Source organism: Homo sapiens, chromosome 11, assembly GCF_000001405.40.
Source record: "Homo sapiens chromosome 11, GRCh38.p14 Primary Assembly".
Lineage (NCBI taxonomy): Eukaryota > Metazoa > Chordata > Mammalia > Primates > Hominidae > Homo > Homo sapiens.
Genome location: NC_000011.10, coordinates 88,824,031 through 88,850,602, shown reverse-complemented (window position 1 = coordinate 88,850,602; position 26,572 = coordinate 88,824,031). Strand labels below are relative to the sequence as shown.

The window sequence follows — 26,572 nt, the reverse complement described above, 5'->3', positions numbered from 1 at the left end:
ACATCTATACTATATAAACTACATGTATTACTTATATGTACTATATCTTTAAATACAAAAATCTCAGTGGGATGAAATTGTCATTAATGAGAAGTAAAGGGAAGTGAGATAGAATGCAAAAAAATAGCAGATAAATATTTCCATCAGCTCATATTTAGAATAAGAGCTATTTTGAGTCATAAAAGGATGATGAATTGCTTACACTTTTTATATTATTCTCTCCATCACAGTGAAAATATAAATGATCAATGCATATATAATGTGGTTCAATTGTAATTTGCCCAAAATAAGCAATTCGGCAAAAGAGCAAAAACCAAAATTCAGGTCTTCAGGTTGCAAGTCCCATACCAATGACTTTCATGCTCCTAACACCTGCATTCTGATTATACCCAATTAATGCAACACTCTCATTTCACTATCCCTCTGCTTATCTATGTTTTCACACAGGCAACTATGGAGAAAGTGGGATGGAAGCCTTCAAAGATATGTCAGCGAAGGAAGGGATTTGCATCGCCCACTCTTACAAAATCTACAGTAATGCAGGGGAGCAGAGCTTTGATAAGCTGCTGAAGAAGCTCACAAGTCACTTGCCCAAGGCCCGGGTGGTGGCCTGCTTCTGTGAGGGCATGACGGTGAGAGGTCTGCTGATGGCCATGAGGCGCCTGGGTCTAGCGGGAGAATTTCTGCTTCTGGGCAGGTGAGTGATAATAAGAAAATTTACATGGAGTTAATACCAGGAATTTGGCAGCACTGAAGGGTAGCTTTTAGTGTATGATAAAAAATTCTTTCAAAGCTTAATCTGTGCAGTGGAAATAGAGCTTAAATTTCATAACGCACCTGTGCCTGGAGAAAATCATGGAAAATAAGTAGATCCGCCATGTGCTGATTAATAGTAACAGGAATCAACAAATGAAGATGATGCATCTTTAAGTCCTAAAAACCATGACTGTAAGGTAATGAAATGGATTTTTATATGCTTGAGTAATTCACTTGGAAAGTAAACATGACTCAAACTCATAGTTGCTTTTAAAGCTGATTTTGAGAATGACTACATGAGCTTGGTTTATAATGTTGAATCATAGAATTTTGGGTTTGAAAATGAGGGATTGCTTTCAGAGCACATTTTTAAAGCATTAGAAAATTGGCTTGTTATTTTATATCACAAAAATGTAGGTGCCTGGTGACCTACATTGTTTCTAGACAAGATACCAAAATACCAGCTTCTACAGAGATTGACTTTAATTATCTGGATAATTCACTTGATTGACACAACTCAGCACATTCCCTGTTGTTGTGGCTGAATCAGTGTATTAGTCAAATTCTCCAGAGAAATAAAACCAAAAGTATATACATATATAATAAAAAATATGCATATATGTGTCCTGCACACATATATATGTGTATGTATAAATTTGTGTGTGTGTGTATATACATATGTGTGTGTGTATATATATATATACACATATGATATTTACTACAAGGAATTGGTTCATGTGATTAAAGACCCAAGAGAGCCAATATGTAGTTTCAATCCAAGTCCAAAGGTCTTAGAACTATGAAAGTTGATAATATTAATTTGCAGTCTGAAAGTTGGTAGGCTTGCAATTCAAGATGAGCCAATGTTTCAGTCCAAGTCTGAAGACTGAAAAAGACCGATGTCCATCTCATGCTATCAGGCAAAAAACATTACCTCTTAGCCTTTTAATACTATTCAGGTCTTCAGTTGATTGTTTGAAGTCCATCCATATTAGAGAGGGCAATCTGCTTTACTCAGTCTACTGCTTCAAATGTTAATTTCATCCAGAACACTCTCACAGACACAGGCAGATTAATGTCTGTTAAAATGTCTGGGCACTCATAGCCCAGGCACTAGACACATAAAATTAACTATCATAATTAGTAAGACAACATCGTAGTTTTGAATGTGTGAATGAGGTGCACTTCTGAGATGGTAACACTGGAACTTATAAGTGGTAGGGAAGCTGCTTCTTCATTGCATACCTTTAAAACATTATGTACCATATATCTTTTTATTAACACGTAGCCAGTGTAAAGAACAGCAAAAACCTTAGAATCCACTGCATCTTTCTCAGGATTTCTGCCCCAAATAGAGAGCCAAGTCACTTGTTATTAACTTTTGATGGCTTATTAAGGGAAATGTACTTCCTTCATTTTCCAAATGCTTAACTGACCGTCTGTGATCAGACTTAGCTCCAGCTGGGATACATTTTATGACAGCCATTTTATGTACCCAATTCTTTTCTGTCCGATCTGATGGCAATAGATTGATGGGGCTATTTTGGTATGAGGCCACACATCCTTCAATAAAAATGATATTGAGTGAGATTCCTTTTTTATCAATGTCATATATTTTGTCAAAATCGTCGCTAGTTGGCAGGAATGATGTACCAGTTAGTTTCATACAACCCACAAACATGCCAACTGCCAATATTCTTATACTGTATTCTGAAGTGCAGTGTTACCACTGCAGTAAAAATAACAGAAAAGAAAAAAAATCTAGCTTTAAGTAGTTCTGTTTTTCTGATAGGGAATAAAGAATTCCACGATTCCTATCTGCTCCATTTGCCAGCATTAATAAGAAAAATCAGCAGCATTTGTTTTCAGTCATATGGTGTATTTGCCAAAAAGCAAATGTTCTTTGATCCCATGTACACTAAGTAAATAGATTGGCTTTTATAATATTTGCCATTTTCCATGTATGATTTTATTTCCAGAAGCATTGCAAAATTTTATATTTTGGGTATTTTAAAATCTATTTTGTATATGATAAACATAGAGTTCTTTCCATATCATTTAATTCATGGAATACTAAATTTATAGCCTCTAGTTAGATTTTTTTTATCCCCACATTAACTGGCTATTTAGTAATTTGACATTTACTTGAACATCAGTTCATTTCATTTTTGAGCAGTTTTGTTAGGTCTTCCTTACTCCAAATTTTAAAACTGTCTCCCTGCAGTTTCTGCCTCTTGGCCCATGTTTTTTTTTCTTTAAAAGTAACGTGATGCTCTTTCAAATATTTGGGAACAACAGTGTGGTCCTCAGTACTCTCCAACTTCTCTTTGAAATATCCTAACTTCTTCCAACTATCTTAGTGAGATGGCACTGTGGGTGTTAATAAAACCACTTATCAGAACCATTTATAGGACCATTTATCAAATACTTTGTGCCAATTACTGTGCTAAGCACTTTACATGTATTGTTTCATTTAATCATTATTTGACAAATGTTGAGTGTTTACTATATGTAAAAGTGCTTGAAATAAATCAATGAGCAAAAAAACAATAATTATTGCCCTTATGATACTTACAGATAAGTTAGATAGAAGGTCATATAAGTGTTATGAAAAAACCCATATCTAAGAACAACCTAAATATTAAGTACTATTCTATTTTATACACAGGAGTTCTAAGTAAGACTCAATAAATATTGATGTGTGAAATGGAACAGAAAAGCAAAAGTTAATAGTTTGTAAGAAAAAGTTTACATCTACTAACTCTAATTTTACAAATGAGGAAACTGATACCTCCAAAATTTGGATGACACAATTACCCAACTACCATAACTTATAATCCAGTGTACTTTTCTACTAACTTGTCTTCTGTAGAGTAGAAACAGAGGGGAAGTTATTATTTGATAGCAAACCCTAGGTTCTACATAGAACCTGAGTTTATTTTTTTAAAATTTTAGATAATTCAAATTTTTAATTTTAATTAGTATTTTATATCAGTGCTACCTCCTGAAAATTTTTATTTAGTTCACGCTATAACTTCTTTCAGTATTCTAGTGTTATTTTGTTTACAGATATTCTGAAAATCTCTCTTTTTGCTCCTTCTCTTCCCCAATTCAACTTGAATGAATGGCTTTAGGAACTAGAAGTCAAAGCTATGTGGAAAAAAAAAAAGGCTATATTTAGAGCCTACTAGAAGGTCCACATTTAATAGCTGTAGTTACTTATAAATATCTCCAACTGCCTTAGGTCAACCATGTTTAATAGGTCGTTCAACTTAAGTGCTTGGCAGGACTAAGACAACTCTGCTGCTGAGACAACCTCATCCATCAGCACATCTCACCATCTGTGCTGCACATCAATAGAATGTTAGAATGATACACACCTCACCACTAGGTCTTTCCATTTGAGCTGTGGGTAATCTGCTGTCTCATTGCCAATAAAAATATCCTGTTCAGGTCCCTGAAATAGTCTTGCTAAACACTTTGGCTCTGACAGCAGGCTGAGATCAATAATCTGAACAGTAATGGCATTTCTTAAGGGGCTTATTTTCTAGAATGAATACACTGTCTTGTTCTAGATCTGGGAAAGAATTACTTGAAATACATTATTTAAAAGTTAGAAATTTAAATAAGACTTGGAAACAACTAGTTTTTAGCAAATTAACAACTGAAAAGATAGTTTCATTTGATCTATAATTAACTTTATTTGAATAATTTGAGAATATTCTTTACTACGATGATTATTACAAAGCCACAAAAAGGAAATGTACTTAAATTTCAAAAGTACTTGAGGATTATAAGAAGCATTTCTTAGAGGTCAATCTACATCAATATTTTTCAAAATGGAAATGATAAGAACTTACTGTAAGAAATATCCTTGCCAATGAAATTACAGTTTTTCTAGTCAAACTATGATAGTGGCTATTCCCCAGAGGTAGATATTATTCTTTATCTTTACATGTAGCAAGAATGTCTATTCCAAATTCAGTCATTTTCAAACAAGTATACAGGCATTCCTTGGAGAAAATGTGCGTTTGATTTCAGACCACCACAATAAAACAGTATCACAATAAAAATCACACAAATGTTTTGTTTTCCCAATTCATATAAAAAGTGGGGGGGGGCGCGGTGGTTCATGCCTGTAATCCCAGCACTTTGGGAGGCAGAGGCGGGTGGATCATGAAGTCAGGAGATCAAGACCATCCTGGCTAACACGGTGAAACCCCGTCTCTACTAAAAATACAAAAAAGTAGCCGGGTGTCGCGGCGTGCGCCTGTAGTCCCAGCTACTCTGGAGGCTGAGGCAGGAGAATGGCGCAAACCCGGGAGGCAGAGGTTGCAGTGAACTCAGATTGCGCCACTGTCCTGCAGCCTGGGCGACAGAGCGAGACTCTGTCTCAAAAAAAAAAAAAAAAAAAAAAAAAAAAGTTATGTTTATACTGTACTGTAGCCTAATAAGTGCACAATAGAATTATGTCTAAAAATATATAAATCTTAATTCAAATATACTTTATTGCTAAAAAAAAAAAGCAAGTGATCATCTGAGCCTTCAGTGGGTTAGATTCTTTTTGCTAGTTGAGGGTCTTGCCTCAATGTTGATGGCTGCTGACTGATTAGGGTGGCAATTGCTGAAGGTGGCAGTGGCTGTGGCAATTTCTTAAAATAAGACAACAATGAAGTTTGCCACATCAAATGAGTCTTCCTTTCACAAAAGGAAGTGGTATTTATCTGTAGCATGAAATGTTGTTTGATGGCATTTTACCCGCGTTAGAACTGCTCTTAAAATTGGAGTCAGTCCTTTCAAATTCTATCACTGCTTTATCTACTAAGTTTAGGTAATATTCTAAATTCTTTGTTGTCATTTCAACAATGCTTATAGCAACTTCACCAGAGTATATTCCGCCTCAAGAAACCACTTTCTTTGCTGATCTATAAGAAGCAATTCCTCATCCATTTAAGATTTATCATGAGATTGTAGGAGTTCAGTCCCATCTTTGAACTCACTTTCTAATTCTAGTTCTCCTGCTCTTTTCACTACATCTTCAGTTATTTCCTTGACTGGAAGTATTGGAACATCTCAAAGTCATCCATGAGGGTTGGAATCACTTCTTCCAAACTCCTGTTGCTGATATTTTTACCTTCTCTCATGACTCATGAATGTTCTTAATGACACCTAGAATGGTGAATCCTTTCCAGAAGGTTTCCAACTTACTTTGCCCATATCCATCTGAGGGATTACCATCTATGACAGTTATGGCTTTATGAAATGTATTTTAGAAATAATAAGACATGAAAGTCAAAATTACTTGTTGATTCATAGGCTGAAGAATGGATATTGTGTTAGCAGGCATGTAAACAACACTAAACTCCATGTATGTCTCCATCAGACCTCCTGGCTGGCCGGGCACATTGTCAATTATTAGCAGTAGTATTTTGAAAGGATTTTTGTATATATATATATGTGTGTGTGTGTGTGTGTGTGTGTGTGTGTGTAGTAATTCTGAAAAGTAGACTTAAAATATTCAGTAAACCATGCTTTAAAGAGATGTGTTGTCACCCAGGCTTTGTTTTTTTCATTTTTGGAACACAGTAATACATGTAACATAATTCATAAGTTTCCTAGTCTTCTCAGAATGGAAATGATTGTTGGCTTCCACTTCAAGTCACCAGTTTTATTATCTCCTCATAGAAGAGTTAGTCTGTCCTTTGACAATCTGAAGCAAGGCCTTGACTTCTCCTCTCTAGCTGAGAAAGTGTTAGATGGCATCTTCTTCCAAAAAAAGGCTGTTTTGTCTGCATTGAAAATATGTTGTTGAAACTTCTCTATCAGTCTGCACCTGCTGCTTCACCCAGCACTTTGATGTTACAGAGACAGTTTCCTGTCTTCAACCTCGTGAAATAACCTCTGCTAGCTTTACACATCTTCTGTAACTTCCTCCCCTCTCTCAGCCTTTATAGGATTAAAGAGAGTTAAGATCTTGCTCTTGATTAGAATTTTGGTTTACAAGAATGTTGTGGCTGACTTGATCTTCTATCAAGACCATGAAAACTTTCTCCACATCAGCAATAAGGCTGTTTCTCTTTCTTATCATTTCTCTATATTCACAACTTGGCTGTTTTTTGCAACAGGCCTAATTTTTGGCCTATATTTGCTTCCACCTTACCTTCCTCATTAAGTATAATCATTTCTAGCTTTTGATTTAAAGTTAGAGACTTACAATTCTTCCTTTCACTTGAGCATTTAGCCATTGTAGGGCTATTAATTAGCCTAATTTCAATACTGTTGTGTCTCTAGGGTTAGGGAGGCCTGAGGAGAGGGAGAGAGACGGAAGTACAGCCAGTGGGTAGGACAATCAGAACATACCACCCTCATTACGGTCTTATATAGGCACAGTTTGTGATGCCCCAAACCAATTACAACAGTAGCATGTTCCTAACACAAAGAAATAATAAATGTCTGAGGTGACGGATACGTTTATTACCCTGATTTGATCCTTATATATTGTATACATTTATGGAAATATCACACTGTATGCCATAAATGTGTACAATTATCATGTAAATTGAAATAATAATATAAGCGAAAAAGATCGCTGATTACAGATCACCATAACAGATATAATAATAATGAAAAAGTTTGAAATATTGTGAGAATTAACAAAATTACACAAAATGAGACCATGCCATTGGAAAAATAGTGCCAACAGATGTGTAGGACAGAGTTGCCACAAACCTTCAATTTGTAAAAAATGCAATATCTGTGGAGTTACAATAAAATCAAGTGCAATAAAAAGGCATGTCCATAATTTTCTTCTACTGGGCTATTCAGTGTCATTAATTTGTAATGTGGGATAAAAGTTAACAATAGGAATGATAGTACCTTTACTGAGGTCTTTGGGAAATGTCAGATATGAAGTAAAGAGCAGATCATGAGTTCAGTTTTGGATAAGTGGAGTTCAGGTACATTTCAAAGATAAAGTAGTCTACTAGGTAGGAGAATATGTAAGTTGAGAGCTCAGAAGAGATATATAGGCTGTAAATAGAATTGAGAGACTCATCAGGATAATAGCAAATCAAGGACGTGTTTGTTAAAATTAAGAGAGGAATTCTAAGAAATTATCTTTGAGGGACCTCAGCATTTAGGTTGAAAAAAAAAGATGAACTCTAAATTGGAGACAGGAACAGGCAAATCCAGAGATGTTGATGGGAAACCAAGAGTGTTGTGTCATCCAAGCCAATGGAAGAGAGTATTTACAGGCAAGACCACCAGTGTCAACTGAATTTAGGAGATCAAGTGAAAATAACACTGAAATGGCCATTTGGATTTATTGAGGTGGAGAGAATTGGCAATTTAACAAGACATGGCTGAATAGAGTAATAAAAGCAGATTAACAATGAAGTAGCTAAGAAGTGAGTAGATGGTGAGTAAATGAACCCATGACATATAAGCCAGTATTTTGGGAAGTTGAACTAATAAGGAATGAAGAATGAAATCTACAGTTCACCCTTGAACAACATGAGTTTGAACTGTGCAGGTCTCCATTTACATATTTTTTTCAGTTGATAGGTTGAAATTTATTTTTGAGATTTGCAATAATTTGGACAAACTCACACACAAACCATGTTGACTAGGAATATTTTTTTAAAAATAAGAAAATATGTGTGATAAATGAATGTAATATTTACATATACTATTTTATCATTTACTACCATAAAATCTACACCAATCTATTATAAGAAGTTAAAATTTATCAAAACTTTTGTGCACACTTGTGAGCCATTCCTGATTAAGAGAAAACAAAGATTTACTATTAAATCATAACTGCATAAAATTAACTGCAGTACATGTTGTACTACTGAAGTAATTTCAAAGCCACCTCCTATTGATATTGCAATGATCTCAAGTATTATGAGTATCTGCTTAAATCACAGTATGAGGCTAATCATCTCCCTGTGAACTGTGCATTTCACCACTAAATCATGCATTACAGTGAAAAGTGATTGTTCCTGATTATTGCACATTTTTTTATCATGTCTTTTGCAATACTGTGAACCTTAAATAACACCATGGGAACAAAAGTGTCAGTAGTGATGCTGAAACTGCTCCCAAGAAGAAGAGAAAAGTCATGATATCACAAGAAAAAGTTGAGTTGCTTAATATGTACTGTGGATTCCGGTCTGCAGCTGCAGATGCCCTTCATTTCAAGATAAACAAATCCAGCATAAGGAAAGACCAACATAACGAAAGAAAAGGAAACGTATGAAGCCATCCCTGTGGCTACACCAGCAGATGTGAAAACCTTGCTCTTCTGGGGAAATACCTTTTTCTGTAATTTTGAAAATGCAGCTTTTATGTAGGTGTATGATTGGGTATAAGAAAGGCATACATTTAGAGTCTAATATTATTCAAGAAAAAGCAAAGTCATTAAAGGATGACTTACTCAAAAGGAAGGTGAAGGATCTAAAGCTGGAGAATTTAGTGTTAGCAAAGGATGGTTTGATAATTTTACAAAGATATTTGGCTTAAAAATTGTCAAGATAATGAGAAAAACAGCTTCTGTTGCCCAAGAAGCAGCAGACAAGTTCCAAGACACCATTAAGAAAACCACTGAGGAGAAGGAATATTTGCTGTAACAGGTTTTTAATGTGTGTCAAAGTCCTCTATTCTGTACAGAAAAATACCACAAAGAACATTTATTAGTAAAGAATAGAAGTGAGCTCTAGGATTTAAGGCAGGAAGGAGTAAGCTAACCCTCCTGTTTTTTGACAATACAGTCAGGTTTATTATGATCATGACTTTTCTTATCTACACAGTTGCTAATCTTCTAGCATTGAAGGGAAAAGATAAACATCAGCTACCAGTCTTTTGGTTGTACAAGAAGAAGACCTGGACATTTAGAGCTATTTTCCTTGATTGTTTCCATCGGCACTTTGTCCCTGAATTCATGAAGTACCTGGCTAGGAAGGACTACCTTATAAAGTTCCTTTGCTATTGAGCAATGCCTCTTACCGCCCAGAACCTCATGAGTTCAACATGGAAAGTATCTACTTGCCTCCAGACACAAAGTCTCTAATTCAGCCTCTAGATTAGGGGTCATAAGGACCATAAAGGCTCATTACACACAGTACTCTATGGAAAGGATCATCAACTGGTTGAAGAGGATCCAAATAGAGACAACATCATGAAAGTCTGGAAAAATTATACCACTGAAGATACAATTGTTGTTATGGAAAAAGCCCTGAAAGCCCTCAAGCCTGATACAATAAATTCCTGCTGAAGAAAACTGTTTCCAGATCTTGTGTATCACTTCACAATATTTATGATAGAGCCAATCAAGGAAATCATGAGATCATGGGTATGGGAAAAAAAAAGGTGGGGGTAAAGGGTTTCAGAATATGGATCTTGGAGAAATTCAAGAGCTAACAGACATCACACTACAAGAATTAACAGAAGATGACTTTGATGGAGATGAGTGCTTTTGGACCAGTGCCAGATGAGGAGGAAGATGATGTTGAAGAAGTAGTAACAGAAAGCAAATTGACATTAGATAATCTGGCAGGAGGGTTTCAGTTATTCAAGACTGCTTTTGACTTCTTTTATGACATGATCCTTTCTATGATACAGGGACTGAAATTAAAGCTAACAGTGGAAGAAGGATTGGTACTGTATAGAAACATTTTTAGAGAAATGAAAAAAAAAGGCAAAAATGCATTTCCTTAAATGTGTTAAGTTAAACTAAGTGTGCCTGCCTCTCCTGCTTCCCCTTCCACCTCATCTGCCTCTTCCACCACTGCCACCCCTGAAACAGCAAGACCAACCCCTTCCCTTCCTCTTCCCCATCAGCCTACAGTATGAAGACAATTAGGATGAAAACCTTTATGATGATCCACATCTACTTAATGAATAGTAAATATATATTTTTCTTCCCTATGATTTTCTTGATAACATTTCTTCCTCTTGCTTACTTTATTATAAGAATACAGTATATAATGCATACCACATACAAAAATATGTGTTAATCAACTGATTATGTTATTTGTAAGGATTTGGGTCAACAGTAGGCCATTAGTAGTTAAGATTTAGGAGAGTCAAAAGTTATATATAGATATTTGACTGTGTAACATGATGTTGCATCTAACTCCTGCATTGTTCAAGGGTCAACTGTATATTTTAAGGGAAAATGAGGTAAAGAGAGATTTTTTAACATTAACATTTTATTTCTCTCCAAAGATGTAATTTATAATCATGAAAAATAGTTTAAGTGGTGAACAAAATGTATAGTGAAAAGCACTTGTATTTCTGTGTCAACTCATGGCATTATTAAATCATTTGCACTTTGATAATATTATGAATGAAAATGGCATCACAATGTTTTAATTTGTAGTTTTAAAATTATGAGTAAGATAGTAAATATTATCTTATGTCAATATTTCCTAAAAGCTACCTATCCATGTACTAAAACCATTTTTTGTTTATTTTTCCTTATTGATTTCTAAAAACTTTATAAATTAAGGAAGGTAGCTCATTGGAATATGTTGAAAATATTTTTACTCTTGTCATTTAATTTGGGCTTTATGATCTTCAGACAATGCCAAGCTTCATAATTTTTAGATTTTTAAAATTTTATGATATATAGTATCTGTATCTTGCATGCAAAGGTCAGTTGTTTATTTAATTGGTTAATTTTGGTATCCAGGTAGGATAGGTGATTTAATTAATGAAAAGAGGGTTACGAATAGTATAAAATGCATAAAAATGTGGGAAGGGGTGGCATTTAAAGTCCAGGTGGAGGAAACCAACTGAGAAGATGTACTACAGAACTAGAACAGAAATTTAAAAATGTGTTGGGGCAGATATAGCTTAAAAGTTTAGAAATAGAAAAATCACTTGATGGCCTTTCTTCCTAAATTTGGAGGCAAGTGGAGAAGGAAGTTTGTGTGTGTATGTGTGTGTGTGTGTGTGTGTGTGTGTGTGTGTGTGTAGCATAAGGGGTGTGGCAGTGGGTTGAGAAACAGTCAGTGGAGATTGGAAACCAGGAAACCTATACTGTTAATAAGTGGTTTCATTTATTATTTTTGAAAGGTATTACTCCATCTGTTATAAACAATGAGGAGAGAAAGATTTTGTTAAACTATAATGCAAGATATTTTTAAAGTAAGGCCAAATTTAACATTTGTAACTGTAGAGTCACATAAAGTATTATATTAATTTCTCACTGTTAGGGATTTAAAGGTTCATTAAATAATAGCCCTTTCCTCAAATTAAATACCAGCAAGAAGTCATGGAATTAGTATATATTAGCTAAATGAAAACCAAATCTTTGATCTGTGACCAAATATTCTTCTCCATCCCCACAGTCACAGACAGGACTGAACAATCACAGGACTTGCTTGCTTTAATAGGTAGCTTTCAGAAGGACAACAGAAAAACTCAGGTTCAGAGAACAGACTGCTCCATAAAAAGAAGAGATGGAGTCGTACACACTTAACCCCTTCTCCAGTTTCACCAGACAGATGAGTCACTATCCCCAGAAGGGATAGTAGGAAGATAGTGGAATGAAGCTGTGTGTTTTCTTTCCATGCTTTTCTCTCCTGGAGCATAAAAGTTCCCCTCAAACACCCCTATTAAAATGTAAAGAATGAGATATTTCTTTTATTTCTCACAAGTCCCTTCTGAAGTGAGTAATATTAACCTAACTTTATAGATGAAGAATCTGAAACTCAGAGACGTTACTTATATCTTTTTTTTTTTTTTTTTTTTTTTTTGAGATGGAGTCTCGCTCTGTCACCCAGGCTGGAGTGCAGTGGCGCGATCTGGTCTCACTGCAAGCTCCGCCTCCCGGGTTCACGACATTCTCCTGCCTCAGCCTCCCAAGTAGCTGGGACTACAGGCACCCGCCACCACGCCTGGCTAATTTTTTTGTATTTTTAGTAGAAACGGGGTTTCACCGTGTTAGCCAGGATGGTCTCCATCTCCTGACCTCGTGATCCACCCGCCTCTGCCTCCCAAAGTGCTGGGATTACAGGCGTGAGCCACCGCGCCCGGCCGACGTAACTTATGTCTTTAAAGGCAACTCTGCTTGCTAGATATAAGCTGAAATGTAAATAATACCAGTTGACGTGGGAGGTGCTGTAGGTCTGACAACTGAAAATGAACAGGGGCTTTTGATGTTATTGGATGAAGAAGTATTCCTATGTCCAGGATGAAACCAACCCAGGACTTTGAAGCCCTCTTCTAATACTAGAGCTTGTGCTTTAAAGTAATCTGCATCTCAAAGTGCGCTGGTGGCTTTGAGATTGATTACACTGCGAACATTTGTTTAGATAAATATTTAAAACATTTTGATAATAATCACTTTTTATAGAGTGATCTTTATTTAACAAGCACTGTTCTAAGTGGTTGATCTTCATGTATTAATTTATTGACTTTTTATAGCAATTCTATTTGTAAGCTATTATTATTAACTTCATTTTATAGCTGAAGAAACTGAGACACAGAGAGACAACTAATTTGCTCAAGGTCCCACAGGCAGTAAATGGCAGTGAGGATATTAGAAGATAACCTGTATCCTAAACCATTCTGGAAAACCATCTCTGGATCTTTGATAATCCTCAATTTCAGTAATAAATTTTGTCCTTACAGTATAAGATAATATGTTTTTCTCTATTTTCAAGATAGATAATTTAAACAAAGGAAAATGTAGAGTTAAAGGTGATTCTGAAAATGTTTCTTTTTTAAAAAAAATAAGATTAACAAACCAGGAGCAATTACACTTTCTGTAATCAAGAAAATTTAATAATTAGATGGACTATTCAAACTGCACTTCCATTTTCTCAGGAAACTAAACTTTTTGATGAAACTTTAGTTTTTAGTAAACAGAAAAGTTTGAAGTTGCTTTATAAATGTGTGTAAACATCTACAGAGAAACAAAGGCAAACTGAATATTATTCTGTGCTGAATTCCAGTCAAAAACATTTGCTCTTTATTGTTTTCTAGATTTGTTTTTTTGTTTGTTTGTTTTTGTTTGTTTTTGTTTTTTGTTTTTTGTTTTGAGACAGAATCTCACTCACTCTATCACCCAAGCTGGAGTGCAGTGGCGGTATGTCAAGTCACTGCAGTCTCTGTCTCCTGAGTTCAAGCGATTCTCCATCCTTAGCCTCCCAAGTAGCTGTGATTACAGACATGCACCACCATGCCCAGCTAATTTTTGTATATTTTTTATTAGAGACAAGCTTTTGCCATCTTGGCCACGTTGGTCTCAAACTCCTGATTTCCAGTGACCTCATCTTCCCAAAGTGCTGAGATTACAGGCATAAGCCACCGCGCCTGGCCTGTTTTCTAGAAGATTGACATGATTTGGTGGAATTAACAGAAGATGTGAACTATCATACATATATATACACACACACACAGATTTATATACACACATATATACATATGTATATTTCTATTTGTTGACAGGCATTGTGATAAATCATACTAAAAACAGTGACTGATTAACTGAGGCCCATCAGCTGAATTCTATTTTTGTACGATAGTTTCACTGGAACATAGTCGCATTCATTGACATAATGTCTATGGCTGCTTTGGGGCTATAATAGCAGAATTGAACAGTTTTAATAGAAGTCATATGTCCCATAGATCCTTAAATATTTACTATCTGACCCTTTACAGGAGAGGTTTGCTTCCTGATCCAGAGTTTTTTCATCTGTGAAGATGAATATGCCTACTTACATAGCAGTATTAAGTTTTCAATATTACTCAAAAGTAGTCATGGTTTGCACATAAACTCCACTTTTTTTTTCAATCCTTCTTGAGGTTTAAGGGCTTCTGATGGGTTATGAGATCGGAGAGTCTTAGGAGTGTTGGTTGGAGTTGAGGGTACAGGCTTGAATGCCGTGATTCTCAGTGGAGAGGAGAACCAGAACAAAGGAGCTTTTTTTGACTTCAACATCCTGGAACATAATGTTCAAAGCAATTGCAACAGGCAATGCATTTGAACTACCTCCTCATTCAACCCAAAGTGATTTAATTTTACCTAAAATAAAAGAATGTGCTAAGTTTAATAAGAAATGTACTCTTTGGATATAGATATTAGTCTTTTTAATACAGTTATTTTTACACCTCTCATTTGCTAAATTGTATCAATAACATGGATTAAAAATGCTTCTTTTCTTTTTTCCTCATCCCATCATCCCCAGTTTCCTCAGAGTTGTTTTTTCTGTAAAACAAGTGTAATTGTGTCATCCTTTTGCAAAATGATCTTAGTTGACTCCCCTTTGCCATCATATTCCACTCCGTAATTTGGCATACACTACATGGCCTAAAATCTGCCAGTCACTTCCTATGATACTCAGAGGTGAGATTTAAAATATGTAACAACTAGTAAGATGTGGATCCAATCAAAACAGATGCAAGTCATAACCAATGGGTTAATTTATGCTGATGCATACCAGCCGAATATCAGAATTGACACACTTCTGCACCTTCCCACTGCTGTATCTTCACCTATTCTATCTCAAAATGATTACAATTCTCTGAACATATCTAGCTTACAGTGTAACCTACACTGTTTTGTCCCTGGAATTACTTCCCTGTCTTTTACCTATATACTCAGGTTTATGTATCAGGTTTATCACGTAAGACATTTCCAGGCAGTTTGGAAGATATCCTGAACTCCAGTAAGACTTCCACAGACCCCTTAAATATCCCTGGAACTTTTCATTTTTATTTTTCTGTTTTCTTCTTTTCCCTCTTACACTAGAATATAAGCTCCTTGAAAGTGTGGGTAAAGGTTTATAAATCTTCATACCTTTCATACCTAACACATTGTAGATATTTTAGAGTGGCTGAAACTGCAGGGGGGGAAAAATGGCAGTAATAGAGAGGCAGAAAAACGGTTCTCTTCAACTCAGTCAGCCTAAGTAAAAGGCAGGATTCTCACACCCTAAAATCGAAAAAGTAGACTAAATATATGTTTCTCTGCAAGTAAGCCAGCTAAAAGTCTCCTGGTGGAGAACAGAGGTGACTCCCTAGGACACCCTCCCCATGAGTTTATGACAGGTCTATTTCATAGCTTTTCTTACTGAATGGTGAATTTCTGGCCTTTGCAAATCACGTCTGAAGAAATGAGCACTTTCTATGAGGCTTAAACATGCATTCAACTAATCAATCACTTGGATTAGGAAAAGTCAAATTATTAGTAAAGTGGTGAGACAAGGAAGACCAGATACATTCTTGGACACGTGCTGTTTTAAAGGAAGCCTTCGTAGGTTTTATTTCCTTTCAAAGGCAGGGAAAATAGATGTAGTTTCTTCAGTACTCTGACTTCATATTATTAGACTTGCCAGGTGATAAAGTGAATATTGATTAGATATCATTCAGTCATTAGTTCAGAATATTTTAAAGCTTTATTGTTTTCTAATAGCTTAGCAAGTCATGAATACAAGTCTTTATGCTTCAAGATGATTTATAGAGATTCTCTCAATTTACCTTTTTGTACATGCCAAAATCTGTTTTCTTACTTAATTTTACTTTAAAAAAATATTTGGCAATTTTTTTACAAAAAGTAATTTTTTAAATTGCTTTTGTCATGGATACATATTTGTACATATGTATGGGGTACACATGATTTTTTTTTACAGTCAGAATGAGTAATGATCATGTTAGGGTTAGGGTATTTACAGTATCCATCACCTCACGTATTTATCATTTCTATGTGTTGGGAACATATCAAGTTCTCTCTTATAGATATTTTAGAACAAACAATATATTTTTGTTAATGATAGTCTACTCAGCTAACAAACATTAGAATGTTTTTCTTCTATCTAATTGTACAATTGTTTTTACCCATTAACCAACCTCTCTTATTTACGCCCTACCCATGTACACACCCTTCTCAGCCTCTGGTATCCACTTCCATGCGAAAACCTTTTTTTTGGTCCCACATATGTGAGTGAGAACATGTAATATTTGTCTTTCTGTGCCTGGCTTATTTAACTTAACATAATGAACACCAGTTTCATCCATGTTGCTAAAAATGACATGATTTCATTATTTGTTATGCGCTAATAGTATTTCATTGTGTTTACATATACCACATTTCTTAACAATTAATCCATTGATGGATACTTAGATTTATTTCATATCTTGCTTTTGTGAATAGTGCTGTAATAAACATGGAGGTGCAAATGTCTCTTTGACCTACTGATTTCCTTTTCTTCAGATACATACCTAGTATTAGAATTGCTGATCATACGATAGTTTTATTTTTTCTTTTTTGAGAAACCTTTATACTGTTTTCCATAGTGTCTGTATAATTTTACCAATATTGTCTTTCCCTTTTCTTTGCATTCTGGCCAGCATCTTTTATTTTTTGTCTTTTTAATAATAGCCATTCTAACTGGGGTGATGATACCTCACTGTGGTTTTGACTTACATTTCCCTGGTGCTTATTGATGTGGAGCATTCCTTCATGTACCTGTCGGCCATTTATACGTCTTTGAGAAATGTCTGTTCATGTCTTTTGCCCAATTTTTCATGCAATTATTTGTATTTTGGGGGGGCAGCGGGAGTTAGTTTTTTTTTTAAGCTGTTAAGTTCCTTGTATATACTAAATATTACTCTCTTGTCAGATGAAACATTGTGCAAATATTTTCTTCCATTCAACAGGTTATCTCTTCACTCTGTTGATTATGTTCTTCACTGTACAGAAGCTTTTTGGTTTAAAACAATCCCATTTGTTTATTTTTGTTTTTGTTGTCTGTGTTTTTTAGGTCTTAGCTATAAAATCTTTGCCTAGCCCAATGTCCTCAAGTGTTTCCTCTATGTTTTCTTTTAGTAGTTTTATAGTTTGGGGTCTTACTTTGAGTCTTTAATCCATTTAAGATGTTTTTATATATCATGAGAGTTAGGGGTCCTGTTTCTGTCTTCTGCATATGGATATCAAATACTCCCAGCACTATTTATTGAAAAGGATGTTCTTTCCTCATTGAATATTCTTGACAACTTTTCCAAAAATCATTTGGATAAAAAACGCATGGATTTATTTCTGGGTTCTCTATTCTGTTCTGTTGGTCTATGTACCATTTTTCCTATCATACCATATTGTTTTGGTCACTATATTCTTGTAATATATTTTAAAGTCAGGTAGTGTGATGTCTCCAGCTTTGTTGTTATTACTTAGGATTGCTTTGGTTTTTCAAGCTCTTTTTTGATTCCATATAAATTTTAAGATTTTTTTTTCTTTTTCTGTGAAGAATATTATTGGTATTTTTAAAGGAATTACATGGAATCTGTAGATTGCTTTGAGCAGTATGGTCATTGTAACAATGTTAATTCTTTCAATCTATGAATACGGGATGTCTTCATATTCAATTAAGTTCTCTTAAATTTCTTTCATCAGAATTTTGTAGTTTTCTTTGTAAAGGTCTTTTGCTTCCTTGGCTAAGTATACTTATAGATTTTTTTAATAGCCATTGTAATTGGGATTGCCTTCTTTATTTTCTCCTCAGCCAGTTCATTATTGGTGTATAGAAATACTACTGGTATTTTAGTTTTAATTTTGCATCCTGCAACTTTACTAAATTTATTAGATCTAAAAGGTTTTTGGTATAGTCTTTAAATTCTTCTAGATATGTAAGATCATGTCATCTACAAATTAGTATCTGTGGTATTGATTGGATAGGGCACTTTGGCTCTGAGTGTGTGCAGTAGTGTAGTTTTTGTATGATTTCTTTGGGTATAGGCAGTGTCAGTATTGTCTGTGATTTCCTTAGTAGCTTATGGTACAATTGGTAGTGAAGTCTGTAGTGATGTTTTGCTGGAGACAGGAACATCCACTGAGATAGTCCTCAGGCCCCAGTGGTGGCAATGGCAGGCTAAATGTGCCTGGGTCTCACCAAGCACAGCATTCACTGGCACCAATGTTAACGGGCTCAGGCTAGCTGATTCTTTGGCCTCCAGACAGCTTGCTCAGGTGCTGGTAGTGGCAGCTTTGCATTGGGCAGGTAGGTAGATACTCAGGTCCCTGAGCAGTGGGTGTTGTGTTGGTGATGGGAGTAGCAGTGGCAGAACAATCCTTTGGATCCCAAGCAGTCCAAGCTGGTGTTATCAGTGGCTGCAATCGCTGGCCCACAGTTGGTGTGTGTGGATAGATGCCAGCTGTGGTGGTAGTGGCAATTTGGGTGGGCTCATCCTCAGCACCATGAGAGGTGGTGGATGGGGCAGAGCGATTGCCAAACTCCCAGATGCCAAGTGACATGTTCAGGCACTGGGTGAGGGATACTTGAATGGGGTGTGACTGTCATGAGGTCCCAAATAGGTACATGCTGATGCTGGCTGTGGTAGGCATGGGCTGAATGATGCCCAGATTCCTGGCAGAATGCTTGGTTAGGGAGGCAGCGGCTGCACTGTGGCCCTGCTTCTGGGAATGGTGGAGTTGCTTTCAGTGGCAAAAGCCATAGGCAGGAGGCTGGGAGTTCAATCTTTAGCCCCAAGTGGTGGCTACAAGTGAGATAGCCTTTCTTCATGGCACTTTTAAATGCATGATGGCCCTGCTACTTGTGGCAGTTGGGGTTGCTGCCAATGGCTTGTACTTGGCATTGGCCATAGCATCTGACAGCAGCATCCATCTGTGATCAGGGGATGTCAGTTTTACTCCAGGAATAAGGAGATTCAGGATACAGACTGGTGGTGACTGGGCTCTCAAAATGGTACCTCACTGTAGTTGTTTAGGGCTTGAGATGTGTGCAGGATCCAGCGTGATATGGTTTGGCTGTGTCCCCACTCAGAACTCATCTTGAATTCCCATGTGTTGTGGGAGGGCCTCGGTGGGGGGTAATTGAATCATGGGGGTCAGGTCTTTCCCATGCTGTTCTCATGATGCTAAGTCTCATGAGATCTGGTTACTATAATGGGGAGCTTTCCTGCACAAGCTCTTTCTTTGCCTGCTGCCATCCATGTGAGACCTGACTTGCTCTTCCTTGCCTACCTTCGTGATTGTGAGGTCTCCCCAGGCACGTGGAACTGCAAAATCCAATTAAACCTCTTCCTTTTGTAAATTGCCCAGTCTTGGGTATGTCTTTATCAGCAGCATAAAAACAGACGAATACACAGCGTGACCTCCCTTTCTTGAGCCATGCTGTCAGAGCTGTCTTCACGTAGCTCTCTCTGTTAGTCTCACAGCCAGTGTGGGTAGAACGGCTCTGGCAAGTATTGCAGGAATCCGTGGTGGGGATATGGACCATTAGGGGTCACTCACTTACTCTTTCCCCACATTGGGAAGTCTCTCCTGGCTCCTGGCAGAGAAGGATGCCTCACTTCCCTTTCCTTTCTGCCTTAGGTGTTTTCTGTTACTTCTCTGTTGAATTTCAGCATTCTTTCTAAGGCAATACATTCAAAGTGTGATTATCCATTTGCTTGGAGATTTTTTACTTTTGTTTTTGTTTTGCGGAGGAGGCAAGTACCAGATACCTTCAGTCAGCCATTTTGAAGCCTCTCTCTCTCACTTTTATTTTAAATATATTTTAAATATATTTTATTTAAATATATTTTTACTATATTGCTATAACAGAATGTCAGAAGAATACTTTCCAAAATCCAATCCCCAAATCAAATCTTTGTTTTCATTTGCCTTTTCCTCTTTGATGCTTTGCAATATGTCCATTCATCCTTTTTAACATGTAGCATTAATATAAGTAGACATTATGCTAGTGCATATATATTTTTTATTTTTCCATTATTTGTTTTGTTTTCTTCTTTCCATTATCTCTTTTGGTTTTTGTGGTTTTGTTTGTTTGTTTGTTTTTCCTTTTGTCTACCTTCTCCTCTCCCTTCTTCCTGTCTCTTCTTACTTTCTCCCCAGGTAACCAATGTGAATATGGACATTCTCTTCCTCACATTTCTCTTTGGCTTTATAATCATTGACATACAGATTTCCCCTCAATATATACTTTGGTTCTAGGATATTGATTATGCTAAATTTGCCGTTTTTTGCTTGTACATAATCAAATACATATTTAAAAGTTATTTTATAGCTTCTTCACTCCTCTTTTTGATCCAAAAAATTTCTCTGAAAACTGGCAAAGTTTTGTTTTCTTGTTTTGTATCTTTATTCATTTAATCCAACTACAATTTTTTAAATTAAAATTGGTGCATTGCGAGGTCCTTGAGATAGATGATCAGATGTGCCTGCATGATTTAGTAAATAAAGAATTCTTTCCCATTGAAATAACAACACTTCTTCATATTTCATTAGAATTATACATATTTTAAATTATATATTTTCTGTATACTATTATATCATTTTAGATACTCTCTTTGGTACTATTGTTTTATTTATCTTTCTTTTGTAGCAGCATAGTAGGTGGATGTTTGTTTGTTTGTTTTTGAGACCAAGTCTCACTCTGTTGCCCAGGTTGGAGTGCAGTAGCACAATCTCAGCTCACTGAAACCTCCACCTCCCAGATTCAAGCAATTCTCTCGCCTCAGCCTCCCTAGCAGCTGGGATTATAGGCATGTGCTTCCGCGACCCACCAAATTTTGTATTTTTAGTAGAGACAGGGTTTTGCCACATTGGCCAGGCTGGTCTCAGACTCCTGGCCTCAAATGATCTGCCTGCCTTGTCCTCCCAAAGCGTTGGAATTATAGGCATGAGCCACCAAGCATGCCAACATAGTGTTTTGATTACATTGTTTTTCTATTATACTTAATACTTGTAAGTCATGCCACTCTAATTATTTTTAGTTTTCGTATACTAATTTTGTTTTTCTCTTAAATATTGTTGGTCTTTAAGAATTTTTTAAGATTTTTTTCTAATTATAAAATTAAGTTTTTAAATATTAATATTTAGAGGGCTGAAATTTTAATGATATTAAATATTCTAATAAAAAAGAGAAGACATTTAATTCCTATTTTTACATTCTGCCATAAAGACAGATTGCTTTATAAATATTTTGTGTTTTCTTGAATTATTACCACCCTTTGTAATTTCGTTAGTATATTTTTGATTTCCAACTAATTGTTGCTAATAATGAGAAAAGCCACTTAATGTTTGTATAATTCAAAATTCTTATTTAATATTTGTAGTTTTCTCCAGAAGTTTTGGATTTTAAACATGCACAATAATTTTATTAACACAAAGTATCTGAGTCAATTTATCTCCAATCCTTATACTAATGATACTATTTTCTTGATTTATTACATTCACTAAAATTTTTTAATCACTGGTGTATAATAATTGTGATAACAAGTATCCTTTTCTTTACTTTTTATGGGATTGGTTTGTTATTTTACTATTTAGAAATAACATTTTATATTTTTGTCTTTATCAATTTACTTATTTTCTTCTTCTTATATTGTCCTGTCATGATCCTGGGTCCTCATATCTCCAGTTCCAAGTAAACACTTTAAAGAAAAATATATATATGCCCAAATTAGAACAAATAAGATTGGATGAGAATTAGGATCCTAAGTTGTGAATGTACAATTACCTATATCTCAAGGAACACAAAACAATTATATCTGGATTCTGGTTTAGATGGTAACTAAAGTATACGAGTTTATCTTTTTTCTCCTCTAACAATCCATCTAATTTACTTGCCATTTATTTACAGTAAAACCCACAGTCTTACACTATGTTACCAGATTAACACATACCTCTTCTGCCTTTCTCATCCATGTCCTGTTGCTCCTCCCCTGTCCCAATTCACTTTAGCCACAGTGGTCTTCTTGCTGTTCCTAGTCTCACTTCCACCTCAGGGCTTTTGCACTTACTGTTCTCTTTGCCTGAAACAACCTTCCCCCAGATATCAACATCAATAGATTTGTCACGTAAAATCTTCACTCAGATGTTACCTTCTCACTGAAACATCTCTGACCATCACATTTAAACATGAAACATACCCTACCATTGATAGTCTTTACCCCCCACCCACTTTATTTTTGTCAATAATATGTATTGCCTTATAACATGTAGCACATTTGCTACAAAATTTCTTATTTATTTGGTTTATTGTCTCTCTAGTCTATGCTAGAAGGTAAGCTCCATGAGGAAAGGGATTTTGTTTACTGCTCTATCCTATGTCACTATAAAGAATACCTGGTACAAAATAAGCACCTAATGAAATAAATAAGCTGAAGAAACCTTAATCCATATTTTAGCAGATAGGATTTTTTAAAGTTTCTCATTTAGAATCCTGGAATCATCTGAGATCAAAATAGCAGGTCTGGAAGAAGCAGCAGGATTCAAACAACCAACCAAGTGAGTAGTTTTATGTTCTGGTACAAAATAAGCACAGTCAGCTGTTCAAAGAGTGTTAGGGTGAAATGAAAATGGCGTAAGCAGGGGAACTAGCTGACTCTTCATTTGTCCTAAAGCAAAGTTTACATAGCAAGAAGAGCATAACATATTTGTAGAAAACTAAAAACTAAAAGATCTAGAAATCTCCATGAAATATGAGGTCTAGAAATCTCTGTGAAATATGAGTATGCATGTAAGGATGTGTGACTAGACATCCAGAAAGATGAAGTGTGCTGGAAGATTAAGGGAGGAAAATGTAACATTGCTGATGTGGAGTAGTGCCAGATGAGGTCAGTAGGTGAGGGTGATGCAATTACAGGAGAGGTGAATGGCACTGCCCTTAGCACATTGATTAAATTACTTACATAGGTCTTGCATTTGAAGTTATTTACATAGAGGTTTGTAAATAACTGGCGTTCAGATGTCCTCATTTCTCAAGCAAAATAAACACATTTGTCATTTGTACAAATTGCTTATTTAGCCAGAGAAGACGGTGCTGTTTAAAAAAAATACTCCATTACAAATAAACCTCTTGCTTCCTACAGTAGAATCTTGCTCTAATGATATGCCAAGAAACTTTCAAGATGTATTTACATTTAATATGACATCTCAAGAGATTGTTATAGCCTGACACTTCCACTTTTCCATTTTTGAAGTTTCTATAGCAGGCTGGATTATGTAGCAAAACAATTGAAAAAGTTGGTGATTACCACTCCTATGGGAAAATTTTATTCCTAAAAGTCTACATAGTCTTGTGATTTTTAAGTAGATAAAGGGATTTTTTTTCAGGTTAGAATTTGTTACCATGCATTCTGAGGCAATATCATAACCATAACAGTACTAATTCCTTATATTTATTTAGTGCTTTAAAGATTACAAAATGCTTTTTATGGGCATTATGCCATTTAATCCTTCTTGTCCAGTACATATATGACAGTCACCAGTGACAATATGTCCAGATGGTGGAAAACGGACATCAGTTACCTAATACCCATTGGACTAGTGGCTACCAGATGCTGGTCCATTGGCCCTTGGAAGGCTTTAATGAAATTTTCAAAGGTCCAAAATAAAAGAAAAATAAATAAATAAAATAATTATATATATAATTATTTGTACATACATGTGTGTCTGTGTATTTGTAGTTGATAATGGCCTTTATTTTAAAAATTATTTTTCATCACTAATTCCTACAGAACTTAGGGTCTAAGAAAAACAGCAAATATGTACTAAATATTTAATACTTAATTTTGGTAAGTACAATGAAGAAACCATCTTTTTTATTTTGGTAAGTAAAATACTCTTTCTTGTATTAGATGACAGTAATTTATGGTAATTTGTTTTGCTTAAAAATTGCTAAAACTGAAAATTGAACTGTCAATACTCTGTTGGCCTTACATTATTTTGACATCATAATGGTCTCTGCGAACTACCATTCAAGACCTCCCGCATTTGTTCATATACCTTTAAGGATATTATTCTAGAAGAAAACACCTCTTAACACCAGCTTAACACCTAGAGTGAGATTCATCATTTTCTTTTATATAAAAATAATTACTTCTTCCTACATAACCCAGTGACTGTCCAAAAAAATATAATGCATTTTATTTCTTACTTAGAACATGGAGTTTGGTTAATGTTTAGAGTAATGTTTGGGCATGCCTTGTGTTAACAGGTGAAATGAATTAAGGAGAAATGGAAATATTAAAGAAAACATGTAGTGTTATTTGCACTAAAACCCAAGCCACCTTAATTTCCTTGAGGGTTCCTTCAGAAATAGGCAAACAGTGATAATCTCTCTTGTGGTTAGAGCCAGTATTTGCCCTAATTTATTTTAATTCTAAAAGCTGTAATCATTTGAGTCCAGCTTGTCTTTCCACTTTCATATTTTGAGAGATTTATTCATATTTAAAACATAAAGCAGCTCTCTAGCATTAGTTGCATCCCACTTGTGATTTGTGTTGTCAATTTCTTTTACAAGAGACACCCACACTGTATGTCAAATATCTATTCCCTCATCTTGATAAAAGTCATAGAAAATGTTGATTTGCTGATTTAAGACATAACTCATTTCTCAATATAATGAAGATGGTAGAGTGGCAAGTAAGGAAAGTAAAGACTGTCTCTGGTATTTCTGAGCAGATTGGGCTAATGTAAATATAGTACCCCTAGAGGAAAAACTGAAGGCAACTGATAATATGGATGAAATAGCAAAACTGTTTCAATCTTATTTGAGGGGTGTTCACAAAAACAATATACATCAACAAAGAAAAAATTCAGCAGTACTTAAGAAAATAACAAACCTTAACTCAAAAAAAAAAAAGTTCAGGATCCAGTGTAGTTGATTTTATCCTGTTAACTGAAATAACTGAGATGATCCTTAGCATAAGTTAAATAGCCATCAGATAGGTAATAAAAATAAAGACTTGCACATGAAAAACTAAAAAAAAGAAAACACGGCAGACCAAGGCACTAAGAAATGTGCAGGGTACTTAGTTGCAAACTTCGTGCTTAGTGAAGTTTTCACATGAGCTCATAAATATTAACTCATCTGTGTTATATATCTAAAATTAAAACATGTTTAGATTTATAAATATGACTATGCATGTAGTATATGTTACTCTGAAAATGAACATGCAATATGAAATATGACTCATAAAAGATGATGGTAGTTAAGAAACCTCAGTTTGCCATATACATATGCATACCCGTCTACACACACACACATATCCATATGTAGGTACTGGTAAATTATTTAGAGCAGGGGTCCCCAACCGCCAGGCCAAGGGCCAGTACAGGTCTGTGGCCTGTTAGGAACCAGGCAACACAGCAGGAAGTGAGCAGTGGGCAAGTGAGCATTCTACTTGAACTGTGACTCCTGTCAGATCAGTGGTAGCATTAGATTCTCATAGGAGCGTAAAACCCCTATTATTAACTCTAGATGCAAGAAATCTAGGTTGCATACTACTTATGAGAATGTAATGCCTAATAATCTGAGGTGGAACAGTTTTGCCCTGAAACCACCCCCCTGCCCCGCCCCACTGTCCTGTGGAAAAATTGTCTTCCATGAAACTGGTCCCTGGTGCCAGTAAAGTTGGAGGCTACTGATTTACAGCTTTCTAAATAAGCCACAGTGCTTGTGTACAGGATGGTGGGGAGGAGAGCAATTCATATAGCGATTCCAAGGAATAAAAGAATCTTTCCATGTAATCTAGCTCTGGTAGTTCCTTGTATGTTCATCGAAGACTGCTAATATCCTCAGTCCTTCTCCCCCGCCACCAGAAAATTCTGTGAAGTCCACAAAAGCCAATCAGAACAACTTCCAATACTGACAGCAGATTGAACACTGACATTTAATTTCAGGGTTTTTTTTTCTTAATGCTTCCAAATAGAATAAAGAAACATTGCCCTTAAATCTTACAAAGACCGAAGGAATGCAAGAAGAGATGATAGCAACACAAATTTTAAAATGGACAAGTAGTAACTAAATTACAAAGAAAGCCAAATTCTCAGCCAAGGAGT

At 35.6% G+C, this 26,572-nt stretch overlaps 1 protein-coding gene across 4 annotated transcripts in view; it reads left to right on the top strand.

Annotated features, from left to right (window-relative positions):
• GRM5 (glutamate metabotropic receptor 5) overlaps window positions 1-26,572 on the top strand; it is a 561,341-nt gene that overhangs the window by 215,380 nt on the left and 319,389 nt on the right. For all 4 annotated transcript variants that reach the window (NM_001384268.1, NM_001143831.3, NM_000842.5 and 1 more), the window contains exon 3: window positions 448-697. In NM_001384268.1, the coding sequence (NP_001371197.1) occupies window positions 448-697 (250 nt within the window). The remainder of the gene's footprint in view (window positions 1-447; window positions 698-26,572) is intronic.